A 23,584-nucleotide genomic window follows, 5' to 3' on the forward strand; every position below is an offset into this window, starting at 1 on the left:
CTTAAATTTGTTGTAATTTTTAATGAGATAAATGATGTATATACAGTTACCAAATGACAAAAGATGTTATAACATGTAGATGTTTATAACAACTTTATTCCTAATTGCCAAAACTTGGAAGCAACACAGATGTCCTTCAGTAGGTGAATGAATACATAAATTGTGGTACATCCAGACAATGGAATATTATTTAGTGCTAAAAAGAAATGAGCTATCAAGCCATGAAAATAAATAGAGGAAACATAAATGCATACTACTAAGTGAAAGAAGCTCATCTGAAAATACTACATGATGTATGATTTCAACTGTGTGACAATCTTGAAAAAGTTAAACTATGGAACCAGTGAAAAGATCTGTGGTTTCCAGGCGTCAGGGGTGAGGGAGGGATGAGTGGGCAGAGTATAGACAATTTTTAGGGCAGTGAAACTATTCTGTATCATACTATGATGATGAATACATTTGTCAAAACCCATAGAATGTATAACACCAAGAGTGAATCCTAATGTAAACTATGGATCTTGGGTGGTAATTATGTGCCAATGTAGGTTCATCTACTGGAACAAATATACCACTTTGGGGGATGCTGATAATGGGGGAGTCTATGCATGGGAAGGGCCAGAGAGCAAATGGACACTGTACTTTCTGTTCAATTTTTCTGTGAACCTAAAACTGTTCTAAAAAGCAAACTCTATTAAAAGTGGATATATACAATACTCCTTATTGTGAATTCTATATAGTCAATTAATTCTCACAATTTGCTATTTTTATTTTTCCAAAATTTTGTATTCATAACCAATTTATGGTTTCAATTGATGGCTGAATATAGCTCTGACATAAATGTTGGTTGATTTCCTTTGTTAATGAGTAGAAGGAGCGGAAATAACAGAGACATTTGTTGGAACTTCATGAGTTCATCAGTAATGCAAGTGACTTCTTTGCTGGGTCAGATATTAGTTTTTGAACATGGAGAAAATTTTTTTTTTGCCACTCACAATGTACAGGTTACAGATCCAGAAATCAATACGCAGTAAATGAAGCCATGATTCGTAGTGTTTGCCTATTTTCATTCTATAAATACTCCCACTACCACCAAGGCCATTTTTAAGCTACCAATATGATGTTGCCGAATTCAGAGACAGGGAAAGCAGTAGCACATCATTATAAAGCATTTGCACCACGAAGATCTGACAGACATAGAGTCTCAACTGCATAGGTCATAGTAATATGAAGTAAATAATTAGGATGTGATGAATTTTGAGAACTACCTTTCATTTAATATAGTTGACTTATTTTAAAATTTATATAATTTAATTTTAGCAATAGCTGTATTTAAAACTGGTTCACAAAGCTTCTGAACATTTAACTACTGGCTCTTGTGCACTTGTATGAGCCAGTTCTGGGCCCACACTGGAAACGCAGAAACAAGAGCATCGATATTCTGTACTTTCTGTTCAATTTTGCTGTGAACCTAAAACTGTTCTAAAAATAAAGTCTATTAAAAATGTATATATACAGTACTCCATATTGTCAATTCTATATAGTCAATTAATTTGCACAATGTGCTATTTTTCCCAGCGCTTTTTTTTGGTGGGGGGCACGTATTTTGCCCAACATGCTATTTTCTCCTTCTATTTCCTACTATTTTCTCTTAATTCAGTGACATCGCATTGGTAGCTTGACAATGGCCTTGGTGGCAGTGAGAGTTTTCATAGAATGAAAATAGGCATATACTACAAATCATGGCTTGATTTACTGTGTATTGATTTCTGGACTCAAGAAAGTAATGGAAAAATATTAATAGTTCAGGTTTAGCCTTAAAATGTGTTGTACCTGTAGCCATTACAATGTGAGTGGCACAAAATATTACTAATGACAAGAGCATGGCTATAATTGGAAAGTTGTGACTAGAATAGCTATTTAACTTGCTAACTCTGTGAATGAATTATCCTATTTCTCCCACTTACTACAGTTATCACTGAGCTATTATTAGATTATCTCTCAGCCTCACCCATACCTAAGGGGTTATTGAAAATAAGTGACATCTGATATAAAAGTACTGGGAATCCCACATTTACAGAAAGTTCCAAGTACAATATGAAGAGAATTCATATATTTTCAGAACCATTCATAAACTGTACTGTGGGAAATACACAAACAAGAGCATTCTTACATAATCTTACACAAACATAAAAGTCAGGAAATTAACATTGATGCATCACTACCGTATAATTCTTAAACCCCATTTAAGTGTTTCTGATGATTCAAATAGTGATTTTTAAACCAAAGGATCCAGTTCAGAATTACATATTACATTTAGTTGTCACATCGCTTTAGAGTCCTTCAATTTGGAAGAGTTCATGGGCTTTTTTGGCTTTTCTGACTTTGGTATTTTTGAAGACTATATTTATTTTGATGTATGTCCCTCAATGCGGGTTTGTCTTACGCTTCTTCATAATTAGATTTAGTTCACACATCTTTGGCAGATATATCACAGAAGTGGTGCTGTGTTCTTTTCATTGCATTTTAATCAGGTGGTAAAGGTTTTCTATTTTTTTCATTAATGATGATGTTTATTTTGATCTCTTGATTAAGGCCAAGACTTTTTGGCTTCTCCACTATAAAGTTATTCTTTTTACTCTTTGTTATTAACAAGTATTGAGGCAGTTATTTCGAAGCTGTGTAAATCTCTCATTCCTAATTAAACTTTTAATTAATATTTGTATTGGACTTCTGATTCCTTATGTCATTCAATGCATCCTAATTCCTTACTATCTTTATTTATTTTGACACTCAAATTGTCCATGATTTGGCCAGTGGGAGCTCCTTCAAGTTTGTTTCTGTATATATTTAACAAAACTTCATTGTTCCTTGAGCATTTCTTTGATTTTTGACACAAGAAGTTCCAGGCTCAACTTGTACTTTACCTGTCACAGTTCTAAAATCAGCCAATTCTAAAGGCAGCCCTGGTTCCCTTTAGTAGCAAATGGCATTTAGCAATCAAGACGTGGCTACTAGGTGTGCTCATTGTCATTGGCCTATTACTTCCCCCAAGTGCTCTGAGTAGACAGAAAGAACACACACACACACACACACACACACACACACACACACCCCTGGTTTTTACTACCTTTAATTTGCTACATATTGGGTCAATCTTCTTCTGTGTAACTAATCTTTCTCCATACACTCCCTCACATGCACGGATGCCCTCCTCTCTCCATTCTGGCTCTGACACTGCTTTAGGCTGCTCCTCTTTGTGTAGACATTTCTCAAACTGCTTGGACTCTGATGCCTTTCTCTGGACTTCCACAGCACCCTCCCTGTTCTAGTGCAGATACCTACCTTATGTTGCCCACCAAATGGCTTTAGAACTGAATTGTTCTGGAAGGAAAAGGAAAGACAAAGAAAAAGGAGACAGGCCGGGTACCGTGGCTCACTGCTGTAATCCCAGCACTTTGGGAGGCTGAGGCAGGTAGATCACCTGAGGTCAGGAGTTCGAGACCAGCCTGGCCAACATGATGAAACCCCATCTCCACTAAAAATACAAAAATCAGCTGGGTGTGGTGGCATGCACCTGTAGTCCCAGCTACTCAGGAGGTTGGAGCAGGAGAATCGCCTTGAACCTGGGAGGCAGAGGTTGCAGTGAACGGAGATCGTGCCACTGCACTCCAGCCTGGGCGACAGAGCGAGACTCCATTTCAAAAACAGAGAAAGAGAGAAAGAAGACAAACTATTTTTACACAAGCACTCTACACTTTTCTTTTTTTTTTAATTTTTTTTTATTATACTTTAAGTTTTAGGGTACATGTGCACATTGTGCAGGTTAGTTACATACGTATACATGTGCCATGCTGGTGTGCTGCACCCACTAACTCGTTATCTAGCATTAGGTATATCTCCCAATGCTATCCCTCCCCCCTCCCCCCACCCCACAACAGTCCCCAGAGTGTGATGTTCCCCTTCCTGTGTCCATATGATCTCATTGTTCAATTCCCACCTATGAGTGAGAATAGACACTTTTCATGTTTATTCACGAAATAATAAGTATGCATTCTTCAGAAGAGATTACTTTGAAGAAAAACCCTAACTTGGGTATGTAACAATTATCATTATATTGTATAACATTTTATATACTATAAATATACATATTACCTCATTTAATCTTAGTGACCTTGTGCAATTGGTAAAGAAGATAAGACATAAAGAGGGCTGTTGAATTATCAATTTTAAATTGATTTTATCACTTTATAATCTTATCATATGCCAAGGATTAAAGTAAAAAAAAAAGTCTGAAGTCTTTGTTTTATTGGAGAGATTTACCCCTTGGATCCTCAAGGACATTACAAACATTAATTATATCTCAGCAGATCCATAAGTAAGAGATAAGTTAAACTTAAGAATAAAATGATATGCAAACCCCAGTACTTAAGAATTCAATCACAGAAATTAAAAAATGGCAAAGTAAAAGTGAATACAATATTTTCATTCATAGAACATGATTTGAGTTCCTATTATGTGCAAAGTAGCTCACTACAAAAAAAGACAAAAGACACAGATACTGTATCTGGGCAATCATCAAACTGGCAACCCGTTGTACTCTCTTGGCAAAGAACAAGAAAGGGGGATTTGAAAAGCATTGTGTCTACTTTAGCGTTTCCAAGCTTAGGAAAAGTTGCCCTCTCCAAAGCCCATTTTGGAACATGAAAACACCATGGTTCATTTGTTTTGCTCCCAGCCAAACAGAATGACAGCATAACTAAAATAAGAAAACAGCTGCTCTGGCTCTAAACCAGCCAATTGCAGAAGCCCAGGGATGAGGAAGGGATATTAGAGGTCAGCTGAAGGTTATAAAGAGGATTAAATGAGATCCTGTACAAAAATCGCCCAGGAAAGCTCCTGGCTCACAGCAGACCCTACCTAGATCAGTAGGAAAAACAAAACAAGAAACAGAGACAAAGGCTTGTCTGACTCTTTATTTATTCCAGGACAGAAGTAAGGTCTCAGGAAGTTAGTTTATTTTTACACCGTGGCAGCCCAGAGCTGAGACATGAAATCTTCAGCCTGGGCTTTCCTCACCACACTACGTAGCTAAGGCAAAATGATAAATAAATTCAAATTCAAAATGATCTGCAATGTTTGCTGAATCAAATATGACATTCATATCAAAAACTTATCAATGCACTCTGAGAGTTTAGAACCATTCTACACAGTTCTTTAAGCAGGTGATTAAATAGGCACTTAAATCAGCACAGGCCTAAGTTATTGCCAAATTTTTGAAGAATTGTTAATAAAATATAATACCTAATTCTGCATTGATGGGAGTTTCTCTCAGTGCTTTGAGTATGTAGCAAATGTCAGGAAGGTGCTGTACATTTATTTTGTGTGTGTGTCTGTGGCTGCCTTATGATAATAAATGAGCATCTCAAAATATTCATTTTAACTGTGTAGACATAAATTATGAGACAAACTTTCATCTCCACTCACCCTATGAAAGTCATGTGCTTTGATATCTCTGTGCCTTCTCCTCTACTTTTTTTCTCTGCCTGGTGAGTCCCCTTTCCTGTTATTTGCATGACAAATTCCAGATCATTAATCAAGATCTAGCTAACACGTCATCTCTTTTATAAAACGTCTTACCAAATCCTGCAGGAGAAGATAAATCCGCTTTCTTCACCTCTCACCAAACCCTATTCACATCTCTCCTAAAAATAATGAGTTCCCATCATGTGTCAGATTCTGGGCTAAGAACTAAAAGAAGCTAATACTTATTATGTATTTACTATGTGCCAAGCTGTTAAATGCAGCACCTATTTATGAATTCTTTTTGAGATGGGGTCCCACTCTGTCGCTCAGGCTAGAGTGCAGTGGCACATTCATAGGTCATTGCATCCTCAAACTCCTGGCCTCAAGTGATCCCCCCGCCTCAGTCTTCTGAGTAACTGGGATTACAGACAGGAGCCACTGCGCTTGGCCTATGTCTAATTTAATCCTTACAGTTCTATGAGTGTGGGGTTATTTTATGACCATTCACAGATGAGAAGACTGAAGTGCAGAGAGATTAAGTGAATTTACAAAATTGATAAGTGTCAGGGATTTAAATACAGTCTTCATGGACTTAGTCTGCTGCCTTCTTTATAGATCTGCCAACCCTGGAAATATAGCTCAGCTTTACTTCTAGAGATCTTAGCCCCAGGAATCTTGACTGACAGCACCAATTGCCTTCCCTCTGGATCTATTGCAGCAGCTGCTCCTAACTTACAGGACTGGCAGAAACTGGTACCAGTGTGAAGTCATTTCTGCCCAACAGGTGCCTTTAATGGGCAATTTTTGTTTGGGGAATCCCTATCCCTATTAATAGGAATCCATATTCAATTGCTCATAGAATCAGACACCTATCTGTCTGCCAATCTGAAACTATTCTGGTAAGTGGGAGGTACATATAAAGGTAAAACAGAATGGAAAGGTTGCTGAATACAGGAAAAAGTGGTATGTAGTAACATTAACACTAATATATTTAAAATAAGTTAACAGTAAACCAATTTATACACACATATAACACACACACACACACACATAAAATAGGCTTCTTTTGTATTAAGAAATGAAGCACTGTAAAATAGTTCTGAATTTGTGTTAGCTGTAGATTACACTATCGAAAACTATTTTTCCTATTTGTCTGTGTACATGTATATGTATGTATTCCTTTTTCTCTTCCATTAACTGAAAAGCCATGTTGAGTGGTCTTCGACCACTGCTTTTCCCCTGTGTGAGGCACAAGTGCTGCTGCTGTGTGTATATTTTTTGTATATTAGCCAATTTTTATTAATTCTTGTTTTTTTATTAAATACATTGACTTTCCTTTCTAGGAAGGAAAGAAGAATGGAAGGAAGGAAGGAAGCGAGGAAGGAAGGAAGAAGGAAGGAAGGAAGGAGGGAAGGAAAAAAGGAAGTGAGGAAGGAAGGAAGTGAGCAAGGAAGGAAGGAAGTGAGGAAGGGAAGGAGAGAGGCAGGGAAGGAGGGAGGGAGGGAGGAAGGACAGACTGAGGCATTTTTAAATCTGGGCTGCAGTCTGTGGTTCTTCCTACATCATCCTTCCTTCCTGCTCTCTCCTCATGGGTATATTGACCTGCATGACCTGCATCTCCCTGCCTGTACTTGCTTTCGACCCCTTCATCCTTCACAGGGCTTTCTCTAATTAGTCCTTCGCATATCTAATCTCACCTTGGTGTCTGCTTCTCAGAGAACCTAAACAGAGACAATACATATGAGAATGATTGCTGCCTCAAATAACTGAGTTATTCTAGAAAAATGGACACATAACATTTTTAAAACACAATTTATTGTAATCACTCCTATAACTATAGCAGATATAAAGTGTCTCGAGAATACAGATAAGGAAACAACCGTTCCTGTCTGGAGTAGAGGAATGTGTGTTAGGGAAAGGTGCAAGGAAATAACGACTTTTAGGTTGGAACCCAGAAGAATTGTTAGAATAACAGATAAGAGTATTTCAGAAGAGATGATAACATCAGGAAGGACACAGAGGTATGTAAGTGTTACGTATGTTTAGGAAATAAGGTACTTTTCCATTCCTGGAAAATTGTTTCACTGATGCAAAACACTTTTAAAACACGGATCAGCAAGGCATTCTTCATTTAGAACGTCCAATTTCAATGAACCTTCCAGCCTCAGTCTTCCCAAGGCCAAGGGAAGCATGAACTATTGCCAGCTGCATGACCCATCCCTCCTTTTCCCACTTTCCCTCATCCCTCCCTTCTGTCTGCATGTATTGTACGTAACATGTGCCAGGCAGCAGACAGATCCTCAGAAAAAGACCTATAGATTTAGATAAAAGTGTGACACAAAATGTTCTGAGAAAAACAGAAGTCTACAGGGAAATAAACTTTCCCTGCCTCTACTATTTCCTTTCCAGGAGACAGAGACAGAAAGACCAGCTTAGGTTAAACTATATGAGAATGAGGCCTAGTTAGTACTGACATACTCTGCAATGAAGTATAAGTCTCTGTGGATATAATAATACTAAAAAATCTAAGGGATAGATTTTTCTATCTCTTAGAAATTATTTCTGTCCCTTAGTATTATTTTCACTTTGATGGATACATTCCTGCATTCCCAGGGATGTAGCTCACTTATTATAGGAGGTGTGCTAGGTGTAGATATTTCAGAAATACAGAAACACAAATGAGAAAATAAAAACCACTTATAATGAAAGGGGCCCCATAGTCCTATAGAAATAATACTTACTGGTTTTTAAATAAACATAGAAATTGACACTTCTGATCTTAAAACTTGAAATTTACATTTGTCTCATCTGAGTTCCTCCCTTAGGAAACTGATCTTCAGGTAAGGGACTGAAGCTCACCAGATCATCACATCCAGACAATGAGATGCCAGAACCCTCATTCCTCATGATTGCTTCTTTATCCTTTCCTAATTCCTGTTTTACATTCCTTCCCTGTTTATATAAATCCCCCAATTTTAGTCAGATGGGGAGATGAGTATGAGGCTGATCTCTCATTCTCCTAGGCTGCAGCACCTGAAAAAGCCTTCTTCCCTGGCAATACTCATTTTCTCAGTAACTGGCTTTCTGCCCCACCAGCAAGGGGACCCAGATCAAAAACATGGCATCTCAGTAACAATTCTATGGCCTAGGGCCATCTATGTGCATGTGGATATGTTTGATATAAATGTTCCACAGCATGGAACATTTTATAAACTGCTTGTGTTACTTAATGCTGTATCATGAGGTCTTCCTACAATTAAGAAAGTTTCTCCTACCTCAATTTCTGAAATATTTTTCTTTTTATTTTCTGCTCTTTCTTTCCCTGACTTTTCTTCCTCTAATTTTCTCTTAAATCTTGAAGTTTCCTTGGATTGACATTTTTCTCTACTCATTCAACCTAGTCTTTTTAATTTTTGTTTTTGTGTTTTTTGTGAGGCGGAGTCTCACTCTGTCACCCATGCTGGAGGGCAGTGGCACAATCGCAGCCTCTACCTCCAGGGCCCAAGCAATCCTCCCACTTATGCCTCCCTAGTAGCTGGTACTACAGGCGTGTACCACCACACCTGGCTAATTTCTTTGTATTTTTTGTAGAGACAGGGTTTCACCATGTTGCCCAGGCTGGTCTTGAACTCCTGGCCTCAAGCGATCCACCTACCGCAACCTCCCAAAGGGCTGGAATTATAGGTGTGAAGCACCGCACCCAGCCCTCAACCTGGTTTTGAGTGTGTCAGGGTCATCATTCATTGATGTCCACTGCTGCCCATGCACCAATGTCTCTCCTTCAAGGTTGCCCTCATAAGCTCCAGGCCTATGTTTTCTCAGTGCCCATTAAACATCTCAAGTTCTATATCTCACATGTAACTCAAACTCAATTAATCAGAAACCGAACTCAGTTCATGACATGATCCTCAAACCAGTTTGTGCGAAAGACTTGTTTTGATTTTTAGGAAGCATTGGTTAAATACTAAAGCCAAGAGGCTATTATTCTTGAATTTTCCCTCTTTCTTACTCCCAGTATCCATCAGTCACTAAGGATGACCTTTTCTACATGCAACCGTCTCTCCCATGGTTTTGTAAAAACATCAAAGGGAAAGAGGGTGAAGGCCAAATTTATTTGTTTGATTTTTTTAACATGGAGAAATTTAAGGAATATTTATAGATAGCAAGAGAAGAAGCTAGTGATAAGAATGAAATGTACAATACAACAGAAGGAAAAAAGATAAGGCAAGTTTCCTAAGAATGTGGGGATTGAAATCTTAGAATAGTTGTAAGAACCTGAAGGAAAAAATGTAAGGATAGGTCAAAATCTACATTTGGGGCCAGCATGGGGGGGACACTGAAGGAGTTCATAATTTATTTAATTATCAATTAGGTCATCTGCTAAAAATGAAAGAAAGAAGTGAAAATGGGTTCATTTGAAAAGATTCATTGTGGCTATTTGATCTTGAACATTAGTGGATGGAGCTTAGTAGAGGTAAGCAATTATCTGTTTGCATGTTCATCTTTGTCTTCAATATCCAAAACCATGCCTGGAATACAGCAGGCCCTCAGTAAACATCATATAGTTTAAGGTCCACAGTGGAAGAAACCAGCTCTTATTCATATAAATGCCCTCAGCAAGTAACATTGTGCCTAGTCATTGTGGAAACTCAAGTCAAAAGAATGAATTGCTCTATAGAAAATTTTATAAAAACATTATCAGCCACATTCTCTGAAACTGGAAGTTCCTCATATTATCCCCTTAAGTTGAACTTTATTAGAAAGAAACAAACACTATCCATGTTAATATCAACGATTCTTTCATTCAAATAATTCTTAGAATAATTGGTATCATTAAAAAGTAAGTAATTTCTGGCCGGGCGCGGTGGCTCACGCCTGTAATCCCAGCACTTTGGGAGGCCGAGGCAGGTGGATCACGAGGTCAGGAGATCGAGACCATCCTGGCTTACATGGTGAAACCCCGTCTCTACTAAAAATACAAAAAATTAGCCGGGCATGGTTGCGGGCGCCTGTAGTCCCAGCTACTCGGGAGGCTGAGGCAGGAGAATGGTGTGGACCCGGGAGGCGGAGCTTGCAGTGAGCCGAGATAGCGCCACTGCACTCCAGCCTGGGCGACAGAGCGAGACTCCGTCTCAAAAAAAGAAAAAAAAGAAATAAAAAAGTAAGTAATTTCCTTATGCTTATTAGCAGTATTGTACAGTGGAAATAAATGCTAGAATTGTAGCTCAAAGCTATGAATATGCTTCAATTTTCAAGAATTATACCAAAATATTCATTATACTTTAGTTATCCAAGACAAGAAACTGAACCCATTTTCCTTTAAAATACTTAAAATATTTCTTGTAGATGTAAAAACAACTAAGGAAAGCTAATAAATTCTCAGAAAATATATTTTAAGTAAGTTTAAAGTTCGCCACATGAACAATTTGTTCTACCTTGACTCTATCTGTGCGGTTGTTGAAAAGTCCAATCCGTCTAATGGTGCTGAGGATGGGGTCGGTGGAGTCATCAATCATGTTGTGCGTGGTCACTGGGGGCAATGACTGTCGCTGAAGTATGAGAGGGAAGGAAATATCAATTGCGGAAAGAATTAATAAGGGTGACTAATTTCAACAATAGGTCATTGACATTTCATCCAACCTTCACACCTTCAGTCTTTTGAGATGGCACTAATGATGATGACTAAGTCTTGTGTGTGTGTCAAAGGAAGATATGGGTTGAAGAATCTCCTTTGCATGCTATGAATACATGAAGCTTTTGTTTTCCGCCTGCAGCTACTATATGAGAGACCTGGACTTCTTGATTGCTTCCGGGACTTATTTGGAATATAAAGGTGTCCTGAAGTCTTGACTTAAGATGAACTTTACTGATTTCTTTTAGCAAGGCTGTCCTCCAGTATCTGATTCTTCCCTATTATAACAAGCATTCTGATGCAAGCCTGACACATTTGTTTTATCTCCTTTGTAATAATTCCACTCGACTAAGAAATATTCTTTTCTCTAATGTGACTCAAATTCTATGTTTTGGAAGTATTTAGGACTTTTTTGTAGTTACTAAACTATACATAATTTTTATATTGAATATATTAATTCAAAAATAATTTTGTAAGCAAGTGGAAGGACAAGTTTCATGAGATGTTTTAAAGGAGCTCTTAAAACCACTAATGAAAAAATGTCCAAAGTAATCATTTAAGTGACTATGTAAGAATGTCTTTTCTAGCCTCAGGTCTGAAAATGTTCCAAATTAGCACATTCCAATAAATTAAAATACTGATTAGATAGAATTTAATAACTATGGGACATAGTGGGTGCTTTTTTCCTTATTACCTGAGTTGAAAAGATGGCTCTTTTCATAATTGTTAGATCATCTCGATCTAAAATATCGTTCAGGTCAGGAATTTCTCCTCTGCAGGGAAAAAATGTTAATAACAAAAATAAAAACAGCTGGCACTAATTCAGTGATTCCTAAGCATCAGATTATATATTATATATTTCATGTATTTTAATAAATAATGTTGATTATTCTATTAAGTAAATGTGTTCACATAGACTTAATATTTAAGTACATATTTAATACACATTGTCAATATATATTTTGAATTAAAATCTCATGAAGTCTCTCTCAGCTTCAGACTGACATATCAACCCTTAATGAGTTCATCATTGAATTAGAACTTGCCTGCATATAAATGTATTCTTATTTGTACAGCTATTTACAAGTTTTGTCAAATGAAGGGTAAAATACTGTTCACATGACATAACACATTTTCAAAGGTTATTAATTCCTTGATATTTGGAACAAAATTAATAAGTTATGATGTCTAAATTGTTAAATTTGAATAGTGAAACCTTAAGTGATTGAAGTAGAAAGCATTTCAAGCACCTACCTTAATAATGCATCATAGAGTTTTTTTCCAAACTTTTCCTTCACAGAATGTGCAACATCCCTGTTTGAAACAGAAAGATTTATCATTTAAACAGTATGACAATGTTTAATCTTTATTTGTCACGATAATGCTATTGTTTTGTTGACATTCTTTGAAATTACATTCTTTGAAATTACAGGTATCTTTTTTATAGTCTCTTCTATTATTTTACTACTTGCCAATTCAGCTTAAGTTGACATCTCCAGAGCTGAGGCAACAGAACACCATGGCCAGCACAAAGAGCTTAAAATTTTTTTGCTTCATGATGATTGGAACAGGATAGAGAGCAGAGAGGGGGAGTAGATGAAGGTATAGGTGTAACAAGACGGGAATTCGTTGATCATTGTTGAATCTGAACTATGAGTATACAGGGAGTCATATTACTAAGCTTTTTACTTGACATGTTCTTAGAATTTCACAATAGAAAGTTAAAAAATGTTTGACTCATCTTTAAAGATTTCTACAGGGCCTTGTTCCTTCAATGGTAGCTCATTCCAAAATTTGTATAACACCTATAATGTTATAACCATTACGATAACCTAAAATAGTAGCACGATGAAAAGAGAGTCAAGTATTATTTGTCTGTAATAATCTTAAGGAAAAAACAAAGTTCAAGGCGATACATGAGATGTCATTCACTTAAAAGAAATCTTTTCACATTTATTGCTAGAGAACATTCACAGGTTGTGAGATTACCACAGCTGTTTTCGCACTGCTTGTCCTTTCAGGGTTTCCACGTTGAAATTATTTGTCTTGGCAGGCATAATGAAAAACACCATCACTGTGATGTCACTTTTATGCATCTGATGAGGAATTAGAAAACACAGAGTCAACTATCAAAGATTTTTAAAAAGTATGATAGATGGAACTTAAACATTGAAAAGTAGAGTTTTAAAATATCAGTAGATAAAAGGTATAGTTATTTATGTTTCACAGAGAGATTATATTCACCTTCCTGAGACTTTTTCAGAAATTTTAATTAAAATCAAAATAAATTTTAAATTTTCAGTCTGTACTTGCCAATAAACAAATTGACTTTCAATCAGTATTTGTCAGTTAACAATTTGAAAATTCAAACAAAATATTTTCGTGCCTTTGACCATCTAGAATAGATAACAATTGCTATTGATGACACTGTGCTTTTCTGTGGTTAAAAAAATAGCATGAATGAGAGCTAATATTACAAGACCAAAATTAGTTCTTTAAAATTTCAGATTGGAAGTTTAATGAAGATTTAAGCTTTGGTAAAAGCTAAAATAATATTTCAATTTTTTTGCTTATTCATGTTGATTGATGACAGATAGATTATTTTTACTTTTCCGCTAAATGTCTTGATTCTCATGATGTTGTATTTTGGTTTTTAGCCCTAAAGCAAAGAAACAAGCACATGACGAGCACTTTTGGGATAGCAGACACTGTGCTGGGTGCTTTAAATATACTACTAATAATCATGTACAATAGGCATTTCTCTCCTCATTTTATTAATGTCAAAAGAAAGGAATGAGAGGTTAAATATTTTCTCTGAGTCCTATAACAGGTTAGTGCCAAAGCTGACATTTAAACTGCTGGCTTAGCATCTCTCAAAAGGAAATGACTTGTTAAGAAGCTGTAAGAATGAAAGCATAAACTCACTTAAAATCATGAACCTCTATGAAGGTTTATGTGTTCTGGAAATGACTGACTAGCTCCAGAGTGTGGGGCACTTTACCGTCTAGTATGCAGCCTCGGCCCTCTAGGGCCTGACATTTTATTAGGGAAAGCTACTGAAGGCATACAATAGGAAACTCACCCTAGGAACAGCCAAGGTGCTATCAAAAAATAAATGTACTATGTGGAAAGAGAATTCCTTCTTTTAACTTCTCCAAGTATTGCAGTTATCTTTTATGTCTAGTATAATAGTAATCAGTCTTTTCTTCATATCTATAAATAAAGTGAATATTTAATAACTATATAAATGCATTTATTAATAATGTCCCTAAAGATTGTATATGTGATATAGTTGTGAGTCCATTATAAAGCTTGTTGAATGAATATATACTAGGAAATATTAAGTAAGGTTATTTAAGAATAATCTTTTTAGTCTTCAGTTCTGTTTTGCATAGTTGGATTTTATTAATAAATCGCTTGTTTATTAACGTGGCTTTAGTAAATTTTTTTAGCATATTTGGCATAATGTCTGCTCTAAAGCAAAAAATTTATGTCCAAGAAATAAAAATTTAACTGGAGGGTAGTACAGAACTCAGGAAAGTTTAGATTTTCTCATTATCTCATTAAGATTGAAATTCTACACTCTTCTCCTGTGAATATTTTCCTATTACTTATTCTACATTTTTATGTGATGGGATTGGAATATAAACCAATAGCTGCCATCAATAGCTATGACATGGTATCTTTTTTTATAGTTGCTTTTATTTATGCATATTGTGTTGCTCGGTTAGTTGAGAACCCACTTTGTATCCCACCTTCCTGAGTAAAAAAAATGATTTCACATGGTTGGGAGTAAGAACCTTCTTTTTCCTCCTTCATGCTTTCATGTGGTGTGACATCCACTAGTTCAAGAGTTTAAAACTCTTAGTCGCAGGGAGGTGGTGTGGCTGGGGAGGTGAGTGAACCGAGTGTGTATGTGTCTGCCCTGTTCTATAGAGAGTTCGTGCTGTCGGGTTTGGCTGCCAGCTATGTGGCACGTGCTACTCTGAAGGCCTGCTTCAGTCGGGAGAGGAGAGTGATGGTCAGAGCTTCCTATGATTAAATGGCTAAGAGTCATAACAAGGTTCAGTATTAGGATGCGTATTGTCATGTGCATAAGCCACATCTTCCATTATAGTCTTCACTGATTTTCTGAAAATTGATATTTTGCTCTGCATTTACTGGATTTCTCTATATTTACTTTTCAATTGATTACAAACTCATGTGAGGGAAAAGGGATGTTATAATGACTTATTAAAACATAGAAGGGGAGAATGGGATAAGCTTAATGAGACATATAATGGGATAAGCTTAAGATTCTCCAAAAAAAAAAAAAAAAAAAAAAAGATGACATTATAGACAAACACACAAGTCAACAGTGTGGTAACTCCAATATGTAAATTGAAAGGCTGAAGCCATTTTTAGAATACGATTATCGTTTATTCTCTTGAAAACTATTTAAGAAGCCAAAAAATTCTTCACTTCCCACAGAAGAAAGTTCTCCCTACAAGAGTGTTATACCATGTCCTAGAGCTTTCTTACCCTCAGCAGGAAATTTAGCCTGGATAAGGATTCTAGGAAGATGTCAGCTCCTTTGTTTGAAAACTCATACCTCCCAGCAATGAAAAGGAACAAAGTCTTTTCAAGATCAAAGTCGAGATGACTAAAACAAAACAAAACCAAACAGTTTCAAATGAAATACAGCAACAGTAACAAAATGTACACATGAATTCTGTTAATGTACAAAGGGGGCTGGGAAAGATAAACATTTATTATTACAATTCTGTTTTCTCTCTACCAAAGATCACTCATATCTGATACTTCTTTTTCTTTTTAATAAAGAAAATCATACCCATAGAAATGACCTCGAACAAAATCTTGGATTCTGGCCTTGTACATGGCATGTAGATTTTGAAACTCATGCACTGCTGAAAATTTCTTAACATTCAAGCCGTTTGGAGTAACTACATCTAGAAAGGCAAAACAAAATTATTATGAAAATTCTCTTTTCAAAGAGGGTACCATTGTAGAAAAAAGTATCTTTAAAACTATAAAGTTAGATGTTTATTGACATTCTACTTTCTGACTACCATAAAATTTAAAATTTATAAAACTTCCAGTTCATAAAAAATTCATAAAAATTCGCAACAAATTTGGTCTACTGATTGAAATAGGAAATCAGAAATGCCTGACCAAAATAACAATGAAGCACTGGTACAATGAAACAAGTTAATCAATAACAATAATAATGGTTATTATAGTACTCATTTATTGATTATTTAATGTGTACCAGGTGTTGCTCTAAAGGCTTAGAGTGTAACTCAATCTCTTCAACAAACCAAGGGAGTGAGTGCTCTTATCTGCATTTTCAGAGGTGGAAACTCAGGCACAGAGTTGTTTAAAGACGCCGTCCAAGAACACACAGCTGGTAAGTCGAAGCAGAATCCATGCAGTCTGACCCCACATACTGTTTCCTTAACCCTGCACTAAACTACCTCCTGCCATCTTGTTTTCCACAAGTGTATGGGACACCTTTTGTGCATTTGGAAAATTGGAAAAGGAAACCTCTTACTTCTAATTTCTATTCTTATTTCCATCTCTTATTTCTAACACAACTGATTCATTCTTCCCAGGAGATTTTGTTGCTCAGGCAGGAAGACATTCTTGGTTTTCAAAACATTGGTCTGTGACAAGAAAGAGAGGGACCACTCTGAGCATATGACGGAAACTACCTACTGAGTTGAATACATGGGTTATCAGATTTAGCAGCATAAAGCAAAAACAAGAAAAAAGAAGCTATGTTAAAAAAAAATGTGGCATAGGGCTATGAAGATTTTTGTAATTTTAAGAATCTTTTCCAGCCTGGCCAACATGGTGAAACCCCATCTCTACTAAAAATACAAAAATTAGTCAGGCATGGTGGTGTGCGCCTGTAGTCCCAGCTACTGGGGAGGCTGAGCCAGGAGAATTGCTTCAACCCAGGAGGTGGAGGTTGCAGTGAGCTGAAATCACGCCACTGCACTTCAGCCTGGGTGACAGAGTGAGACTCCATCTCAAAAGAAAAAAAAAAAGAATCTTTTACAGTTAACTGGCTATTTTCTTGACATGGTTCCACAAAATCAATCCAGGCTTTTTGGTCATTTTTTGTGGAAAATAAAAACTTACTGATTTTTATGAGTTTTTATTAAGTAATCTGACCTTTGTTACACTCTTTTACATACATGGCCACAGTAGAATCAATTTTAAGTAGCCAAGGTTTCCAGTGAAAGCTTTCATGTGAATAATTCCTAAATGAACTATATAATGTGATTCGTACAGTATGACAATTACATCTTAAAATGTATTTATCTTTCTACAGCAATTATGTAGGGCTCACTTTGTGCCAGGCCCTATTATATTTGATATATAATAATTTTTAAAAATCCCTATGAGGTAAATTGTTTTCACTGTCCCCATTTTACAAATAACGAAACTGGCCTGCAGAATATTAAGTCATTTGCCCAATGTCAAGTAAGCACAAAGTAACAGAGGCTGGATTTAGAACCAAAGCAGCCTGGCTCAGGAGTTTCCACCCTTTTGATGCAGTGGTGTCATACAACTGTACCATACAAAAGCTATAGAAGGCAAGAATGTATGTGGATACCAGCTTATTATGGATTGTAATCCTCAGCAGTTTTCCAAATTGTTTCACAAACAATTATAAAAAAAAGATCTGTGTCCTGAAATTGTCTGTTCATTAGCCTAAAGTGTTAGGCCAGTGAGGTCTTCTAATATCCATATTTATAACAGAATAATCTCACATGCACAGGCCTATGTGCAGTCATATGCTGGTAAAATTTAACAAAGAGTACTCCAGGAAAAAGAGAGAAAAAGAGAGAGAGAGATAGATAATTTTAGTGTTTGCCTTTCTCCAAGGTGTAAATATTCCCATCATGACTGATTTCAAGCTACCAATGTAAATGCAGAGTTGGGAAGAAAAGTGCAGTAACACCATTATACTATTTCCATCCATGAAATATATATATATATATATATATATATATATATATATATATATATGGATGTTACTGCACCATTATATAGGTTATAGGTTTTAGGTTATTTGTATGTAATGGTGCGCAGTAACATATAATGGTATTACTGCACTACTATATACAAATAACCTAAAATCATAGTAAAATGTAGTAAAATAACCAGGAAATGATGTTAAATTAGTTAAATTAATTTGATTAATTTAATTTAATTAGTTTATATAAATACATGTATTATTACATAATAAATTAGTGTATATAAGTTATATGCTCATATCATTTAAATTTTTAAAAAATCAAAATATTGACCTTGAAAAATCTCCTTTTCACTTCCGTTCCATAATTTTTTCCTTTCCCTGGAAGCAACATTGGTCACTAATTTCTTGCTATTGTTCCCAAGTAGAAGACAATGTTACCCACCTTTCTGATGTTAACAACGCCAACACAAAAGAAAAACGTTGACTAAAGGATGGTATTAGCTAGAGTTCATAGTAAGGTATTAGCATGGGCTCCAAAATCAATAATTGCAACACTATTAATGACTATATTAAAGGGAAAATGACAAATTTTTTTAAAGCAACATAAGATATTTAAGGCATATGTTGTATTCAGTTTTGTATCTGTAATTGGTAAATTTATCATACTGCCTTCTCTCCAATATTTTTAAGAAAATATCACCTTTTCAACATCTTAAACTATTTTGAGTCAAATTTATGGCAAAAGCATAATGATATAGTAATAAATATAAGCTTTTGCCAATTATTATTATATAGTGACATTTTGAAAAATATCTGGTCCCATGCATGTTTTTCACCCAGCCAATTTTCCTCTTGCTCTGTAGTTGCACCCTCAGCGTTAAAAGTAATGGCTGTAGTTAAACTTTTAATCGGGGAAGACTTCAAGAAAAATCAAGGAATACAAAGTCATAGTTACACTATGTGATCTTTTTTTTTTTTTCAGAATGCTCTTGGGAAGGTTTATATGTTTAATGATCTACTAAAAGTCCATTGACCTTCTTGAGCCACAAAATGTTCAGAGATTTCACAATTTCCATCAGAGCCACCACATGATTCTACTGCAAGTCTGAAGAAGCCCAGATTGCAGTGTTTATGGTTTCTGGTAGAACTTCCAGAGAAAGCTAGCTTGTGGGCACTCAGTAATAGATGAGAACTTGGGGAAAATCTAGACAGTGATCCACACAAAATAATAATCGATATTTTCTAAATCTTTACAATGTACCAGGCACTGAGCTGAGTTTTTTCCATATGTTAACGTTTGAATCATTGCAATGATTCTAGATAAGAGAAAGGATTATCCACATTATGCAGATAAGACACAGAGAGCTTAAGTAACTTTTATAATGTCACACAGCTAGTAACGTATACTCAACATAAAATCATTTTTGGTACTGAATACAGGCAGTTTGGCAAAAAGCTCATGCTTTGACCACTACTCTGTAGCTATATTCTTAAGAAAACAAAAATTTAAGAAAATAGTATATAGAGAAAGCAGGACCTAGAATAGAATCTTGGAGAATGTCCACTTTGAAAAGTAAAAGAAAGTAGAAAAATGATTAGAGGCACCAGAAAAGATTATACTGGAAAGAAAGTAGAATGTGCAGTGTCATGAAAAATAATGGAAACAGATGTTCACCGCCTTTAAATGCTAGAGAATATAAAGAAAAATAAAAAACATTAGATGACCCTGAATTCGATGATTTTTGGAAACACAATTTTAGGCCAGAGTTGGAGGTCGGAAGCCAGAGTCCCAGGGGCTAATGAGTAAGTGAACCTAGCAATTATGGTTTACTCTTATAAGATATTTGGCAGCAGGAGAAAGGAGGAGATGGTATGATATTTGGCAGGGTAGAAACCTCAAGAGAAATTTTCATTTTAGAATAGGCAAAAACAAAGAAAGTATTTTTGTGAGCTCAGAGAAAGATAACTGTAGACAGGAAAAAGGAAGATCCAAGAGAGAAATGAGCATATTGATGGAATAAACTCCCAAAAGAAGAATGAGAGTAAGAATCCAAGCGAATTCAAGAGAATCCTTGGAAAGAAAAAAGGCTACTATAGGTTCTTAATGCTGCCACTATTCAAATTAGTTGGGTTCTTGTTCTATCTTGTTTTTTTTTTTTTTTTTAACCTAGCACCTTGAAATACCTCTTCTACACATTCTGCTATCTGAAAGAAGGACAACTAGAGACAAGACCACAGAAATTAAGCAAGGAGGATATATTAATTAGGATGATTTCGTTGCAAGTAATATAAACCTACTAATGCTGGCTTAAGTATAATAACAAGGAATTTATTAATAGGATGCCGGAGTGTCTCATGGCAAATATTTAGCTGAGCCTTAGGAATGATTTTTAAAAGTGGTCAAAACTGGCTGGCCGCGGTAGCTCACACATGTAATCCCAGCACTTTGGGAGGCCAAGGCGGGTGGATCACGAGGTCAGGAGTTCAAGACCAGCCTGGCCAAGATAGTGAAACCCCGTCTCTACTAAAAATACAAAAATTAGCTGGGCGTGGTGGCAGGTGCCTGTAATCCCAGCTACTCGAGAGGCTGAGGCAGAGAATTGCTTGAACCCGGGAGGCAGAAGCTGCAGTGAGCTGAGATCACGCCACTGCACTCCAGCCTGGGCAATGGAGCAAGACTCCATCTCAAAAAAAAAAAAGAAAAAGGGGTCGAAATCACTGTGGAGAGCCTCTAGTTCTCTCTCTCAGTCTGTTTTTGCTTCTTATAACAATTCAGTGTAGTTTAATCTTCTTTGCATCCAGTGCAACAAAGTAGAAAAATGAACACTACCAATAGCTTTGAGTTATTGGTAGTGTTTCATTGTATGACAGTGCATTGAGAGACTCGTTTGAATGGGAGCATTCTGATTGGCCCAGCTTATGTCAGATGTCTTCCTTTGGGCCAATCAGCCGTGGCCGGGTGACAGGGCCATGTCTTATGAGCATGAGTTCTTCACATTGCAAGCTCTGGTTGGGTCTGTAGATAGTTCCTGGAAAAATTTCCAAGGAATCTGGGGATAAGTAATATAAAACGTTTCTACCAACACAGCACCAATGAGGCAATATTACAAGATGTAGGACTGGGATAGTCTCACACAAATTTCTGTTTTCTTGGCTTTCATTTTCTCAAAAGACAAGAGTCAACCGAACTTCCTTACACATACCGACTCATTATGACAACCCAGGTCATACCAAGGTTATTTCAAGCATAGCTCATTTATTCAACAAGCACAGATTGAACACTTAGCCATGTTCCAGATATAGCTTTGAGTTGGCTTCCCTGCAAACCTACTGAAATTGAGAATTAAAATACATAAAAAGAGCTGCGTGGTAACTGAATGCAATTTTTCCTCAAACTACTACTTCACGATGGAAAACAAAATCCTCATAGTGTAACATCATTCGGAACTGAAAGATAGGTGATCCAGGGATAATAATTACCAGGCTTTCTCTTCAGCATATGTTCAGCTTCTATTGCTGTTATTTCAGAAACCGTGGTGAACACGTGAGCGCAATGAACGGAAGCTCGCTCCATGCAGTACCGGTGGTAAATCTGCCTTTCCCCAGCCTCTTTGTCAATGTTAAACTGTTAGAAACAAAAATAAAACACACATTTGCTAACAATGGCCCTTCTACACAAGCTAAACAAAATCACACATTTCACCAAGTGGCTTACCTCAAGGCTGTGTAAAAATTTATGACCACAAAAAAGTAATAAAAACTTGAATTAAACCCATTACTACAATATACATAAGGAATTACACTTTAAAAGACATTGTTTACTCCATTTCTCCCTCTAAACTGCAGTTTAACTCCCTAAGTAAATGATGTTTCTACCTTACTGTAATCACATAGAATTCTTGAATTTTTGACATTTTAATTACACTTTTACTTATTCTACATCTTGGAATACTGAGCTAATGCCTTTCTCCAAAGTCTTTTATATATTTTCCCATAAACAATGAAACAAAGTTGACATTAAAGTTGACATCGAAAATAAGAATAATTATTATAATGCTTAATTCACTGAAAGGGAACCTGAAAAAGAGAAAGACAAACGCTTTTCCTTGGTTATAGAACTTCCCCTTTATAATTGCAAAGAGTGTATAGTTAGTCTAGTTAGATATTGTGCTAGATTATGCAATTATCTATGCTTCTGGGTAGCTTAACTTAAAAAAAGTCAAATTCCCAACAATCACTTAAATAACTGGCAACAGTGTGGGCTTTTGCCATTTCACTTAGTTACTGAATGTAGTGTCTCACGCAGCTCCATATGAAACTAGCAGTGTCTAAGAAAAAAAGAATATGTAAAGTTTCTGACATTATGTAAGTAGGGTGCTTTTCATAGTGAAGATTTTTAGTAGCTCTTCAGCACTAGTGTCAGGCACTCCACTACGCACAATAACATATTTAATTCTTATAAACTACTGAGACACATATTTTGCCTTCATTTTATGGAGAAGGAAATTGAACCTTTTAGAGGTCAAGAAACTTGTCGAAGGTCACATTGCTATTAAGAATCTTGGTAGAACCCTAATTTGATCCTTAATCAGCCTGACTGATTAATGAATACAGTCTTGTATTCATCTGTTTTTATATCATTGAGACTTCAACTCTATCAAGAAGTTAGTCCCAATAATTATGGCATCATATAGAGAAAAATACTAAAAAGAGACCCATTAGAGGAATCTCATGATTAGAACAAGAAAACTCCTAGAGCATTCTTTCATGACTGTAATATTTGGAATCATCTCTCTGAAAATGTTTGAATCAGGTTGTATATGACATGCTTGGATCAGCAGAAGTTTTCTTAAAAGCTCTATGTGGCCAGCCTAATTAATGAAACCAAATCTCTCATTTAATCAACTTTTTTGAGCAATTTATGTGTATCTATTAACTTTAAGAAACTTATAAATTAATGGAAAATGGATTAAAAACAGGTAGAAATGAAATGAGTATGTGTCTGAATAAGTTATAGGATCAAAGCAGCACTGATTCACTCTGGCTGAAGGTAGGCAAAATTATCTCATACTACGCAGTAAGCGTAGTCAGTATCAACTCTACAAATGTAAGACTTTCAAGTGCAAAGACGAAGACTTATTCATCTTTCTATCTCCAAATTGGTTGGATGAATAAAATGGCATTTGGACCAGGATATGAAAGTTTAATTCTGGGAAAGTTATTTTTAGCTGAAATGCTAGCTGCCCTAAAGAACAAGTATAGAAAATGCTATGGCATGTGCAGAAAATAGCAGGACATCTGATGTGACTGTAGCACTGGATGTAGAATGTAAGAGACAGAGGCTGGTCGGATACAATAGGGCCAGATCACTGAAATCCCTGAAGATGAGCCTAGGAATTTTGCCTTTGTCCTGTAAACAAGAAAAGCCACTCTGAAAGTGT

The 23,584-nt window shown here is 36.1% G+C and overlaps 1 protein-coding gene across 4 annotated transcripts in view, besides 1 other annotated feature; it reads right to left on the reverse strand.

The window, feature by feature from the left end:
* GYS2 (glycogen synthase 2) overlaps positions 1-23,584 on the reverse strand; it is a 72,271-nt gene that overhangs the window by 14,665 nt on the left and 34,022 nt on the right. For 3 of the 4 annotated variants that reach the window (XM_024448960.2, NM_021957.4, XM_006719063.4), the window contains 7 exons: positions 21,624-21,768; positions 15,987-16,104; positions 15,677-15,797; positions 13,145-13,251; positions 12,410-12,469; positions 11,850-11,928; positions 10,959-11,072 (listed from right to left, as the gene is read on the reverse strand). In XM_024448960.2, the coding sequence (XP_024304728.1) occupies positions 10,959-11,072; positions 11,850-11,928; positions 12,410-12,469; positions 13,145-13,251; positions 15,677-15,797; positions 15,987-16,104; positions 21,624-21,768 (744 nt within the window). Of the gene's footprint in view, positions 1-10,958; positions 11,073-11,849; positions 11,929-12,409; positions 12,470-12,518; positions 12,988-13,144; positions 13,252-15,676; positions 15,798-15,986; positions 16,105-21,623; positions 21,769-23,584 lie in introns of those variants that run through there. The other variant, XM_017019245.3, reaches the window with a different exon arrangement.
* Positions 10,683-11,882: an enhancer, noted in NCBI's record as "CDK7 strongly-dependent group 2 enhancer chr12:21710858-21712057 (GRCh37/hg19 assembly coordinates)". NCBI's record gives its function as "activates an origin of replication core promoter dependent on BRD2, BRD4, P300/CBP, MED14 and CDK7 cofactors, with strong dependence on CDK7, by STARR-seq in HCT116 cells {active_cell/tissue: HCT116}" and the evidence as "EXISTENCE:reporter gene assay evidence [ECO:0000049][PMID:35650434]".

This window comes from Homo sapiens, chromosome 12 (assembly GCF_000001405.40).
Source record: "Homo sapiens chromosome 12, GRCh38.p14 Primary Assembly".
NCBI lineage: Eukaryota > Metazoa > Chordata > Mammalia > Primates > Hominidae > Homo > Homo sapiens.